This window comes from Homo sapiens, chromosome 11, assembly GCF_000001405.40.
Source record: "Homo sapiens chromosome 11, GRCh38.p14 Primary Assembly".
Lineage (NCBI taxonomy): Eukaryota > Metazoa > Chordata > Mammalia > Primates > Hominidae > Homo > Homo sapiens.
The window spans coordinates 101,887,224-101,890,673 of NC_000011.10; positions in this window are offsets into that span (position 1 = coordinate 101,887,224).

A 3,450-nucleotide genomic window follows, 5' to 3' on the forward strand; every position below is an offset into this window, starting at 1 on the left:
AATCCATATACTGCCTTGGAGGGATATCCAAATGCAATTAAGTTTCCAAACCAGTTACCCTTAAGATAGGATTATGCAGGTGACTTGACCTAACCACATGAGCCCTTTAAAAGCAGCTAGTTTTCTCTGGCTGGTCTGGCTGGCAGCAGAGGTAATAGATAGAGAGATGTGTTCTGGTTGACCTGGAAGAAAGCAAATATTCATCCTGTAAATTGGAGATCCCATGTTAAGGAACAGCAGGCCAACTCTAGAAGCTGAAAGCAGTCCCACCCACAGCTAGAGAGACAACAAGGTCCTGAATCTTATAACCACAAGGAAATGAGTTCTGCCAATAAATGAGCAGGGAAGGGGACCCCGAACCAAGATGAGAACTCAACCTGGATGACACCTTGATTTAGCCCCATCATTCTCTGAGCAGAGAACGCACACAACCTTTGCCAGACTTCTGAGTTTCAAAACTGTAAGCTAATAGTTGAGAGTCCTTTTAAGCCACTAAATTTGTGGTAATCTGTCACGCAGCAATAAAAAACTAATATGTTTGTAGTATACTTTCACAACCAATATATCAGAACTCCATCAATTCCTATTCCATCATATTATTTGTTCTCGTTAATCACACTTACAGTACTTTAAATTTTCTCAAAATTAAAAAAAAAGTTCTATTGCTCTTTCATGTTAAGTGTATGGATTACATTGGAGACAGATCTGAATAGTCCGGGAGGTTCATTGTCCCTTTTCTGTGGTGGCTAGACAGAAAGAGCAGCCTGGTGCCAGCCACTGCACTTCAGTGAGCTCCTCTTTCAAACCAGGCCACCCCCTCAACCACAAAGCCCATACTGTTACAAAATTGCCCTCCCAGAGCACACTGCTCATTAAGATTAGTGGGATCCATCAGTGATAAACTAGATAAAGAAAACGTGGTACATATACCTCATGGAATACTATGCAGTCATAAAAAAGAAAAAGATTGTGTCCTTTGCAGGGACAAACATGGAGCTGGAGGCCATTATCCTTAGCAAACTAATGCAGGAACAGAAAACCAAATACTCCATGTTCTCACTAACAAGTGGGAGCTAAATGATGAGAACACACTGACACATAGAGGGGAACAACACACCCTGGGGCCTATCAGAGGGTGAAAGGTGGGAGGAGGGAGAGAAGCAAGAAAAATAACTAATGGATATCAGGCTTAATACCTGGGTGATTAAATAGTCTGTGCAACCAACCCTCATGAAACAAGCCAGTCATTTACACACACACACACACACATACACACACACACACACACACACACACACACAAAAAAAACCTATGTCCTGTCTACCTAGGACATTGCTGGGGTGCATCAGCAAGATCCTAAGTAATACCCAAATCGTCCTTACACATTGTTCCTGCATCTCCAAACCACCCTTGGTTCTCACACCCACTACTCAACTTCACACATCCAGGGCCCTTTGCATCAAGTCTTCTATTTGAAGACTATGATGTGTGTTGCTACTTCTAGTTGTTTATGTGTTTTCTGTCATGTTGTAGAAATATTTTTAAATAGGTCATTACTTGCCTTTAGCCTACCTCTGAGTACTATAGCTCTCAAAGCTATTATCAGTAAGTTAACTTTTTTTGTTTATACTTAATCTATGCTGGCGTAAAGAGAAGCTATTGGATCTATATATTGCTGGGGGGTTTTCTTCCAACAGGACACAGAGTGTTTACTGACCATTAAAGTGTAAGTGAATGAAAGAATAAAGCATTTATATTTTTAAACAGGACCAGTTAGCCAGAGAAGTCTTCAGAATCTGAAAGAATGACTCTAAAAAGATGTCATTCAGACTATCAGCATGTGACTGCTACCTATTATGCCTACTTCCAAGGCACATGTACATGCTACTGGGGAAGTAGATAAGAAAGAAAGAAAGAAAGAAAGAAAGAAAGAAAGAAAGAAAGAAAGAAAGAAAGAAAGAGAAAGAGAAGAGAAAGAAAGAGAGAGGGAAAAAAGAAGAAAAAGAAAGAAAGGAAGAAAGAGGAAGGAAGGAAGGGAGGGAGGGAAAGGAAAGAAAGGAAGGAAAGGAAAGAAAGAAAAAGAAAGAAAGAAGAAAGAAAGGAAAAGAAAGAGAAAGAAAGAAGAAAAAAGAAAGAAAGAAAAAAGAAAGGAAGAGAAAGAAAGAAAGAAAAAAGAGAAAGAAAGAAGAAAGAAAGAGAAAGAAAGAAAAAGAAAGAAAAAAGAAAGAAAGAAAGAAAGAGAAAGAAAGAAAAAGAAAGAAGGAAGGAAGGGAACGAAAGACAATTGCCCTTATCCCTTAACATCTCCTAAGAGTCAGGTCTGAGTATCTGAGGCTCAGGATTATGACCTGAAATATACCTTCTCATTTGCAATAGGGTTTGAGACCTCTTAATACTTTTAAAGCATCTCACAAGGCATCCTGGAAGTAATGTTGTCCATGGTTAGTCAATTATAAGTCAAATATATCTTTCCACTCCAAAGCCCCCCAAAATTAAAATTTCTCACTGCTCTCTGGGTCCATCTTTCCATTCAGTATTCCATTGATTCCCATTCTGCTTTCATCCTCAATTTTTCCATCATTTCCATAGGCTTTAGATGGGATAAAAATGTGAAGCCCCTATCTCTTGCAGTACCATAAGGGAGATTGCCTCTGTCCCAGCTCAGCAAAGATTTCAAGGCCCAGATTCAAAACAACAGATTGGCTTGCTAAGCAACAAAATTATTGCCTTGATTTGTAGGGGAATTTGCCTCGTGGTGCTCATATCATTACCGATATAAAAGGCAGTTCTGTGCTTCTCCAACCTGGCACGCATCTGACTCCACTGCCAAGATACAACCTCAGCTGTGCCTCTGTGATATGCATTGGAGACCATGGGAATCCATGTGCACCCTCCTGCAATCTTATCTCATGTAATCATCTCATGTAATCCTGTTCACGATGTATTCACTGCTTTCAGAGGATATCAAAGTGAAAGCACCTTAAATGACGACCTTATTATCATTTTTGTCCATCCCTGAACCCAAATCAGATTCTGGTTCTATTCTGGGCTTAGCTATGTCACCCTGACATCTATATCCTCAAACTTACTTTTATTCAATCCTCTTCCCACTTAATTTTTCAGCCACTTTTCCCCTCCCTTGAGTATTATATAACCCTAACTCTGGACAAAGTACCTTCTATTCAAAACTAATTCTTGATCATTTCCCTTGTCTCTCTTATCAGTAACTGACACTTGGCCCTGCATGTTCCCTGCTGTCCTCTCCTAAGGAATCCTTACCATCCAATTCCCTCCACCTTTGTAGAAAAAGTAGAGGGGACCAGCTTATTCCTAGAGTATATCTAGAATTGATTCATCACTGTTTTATCGACCATCCTTCATGTAAACTACAAACCATTCCTACTGGTTCAAAAAGAGTTCAGATAAAGACGTATTTTAGAATGCAGCTGA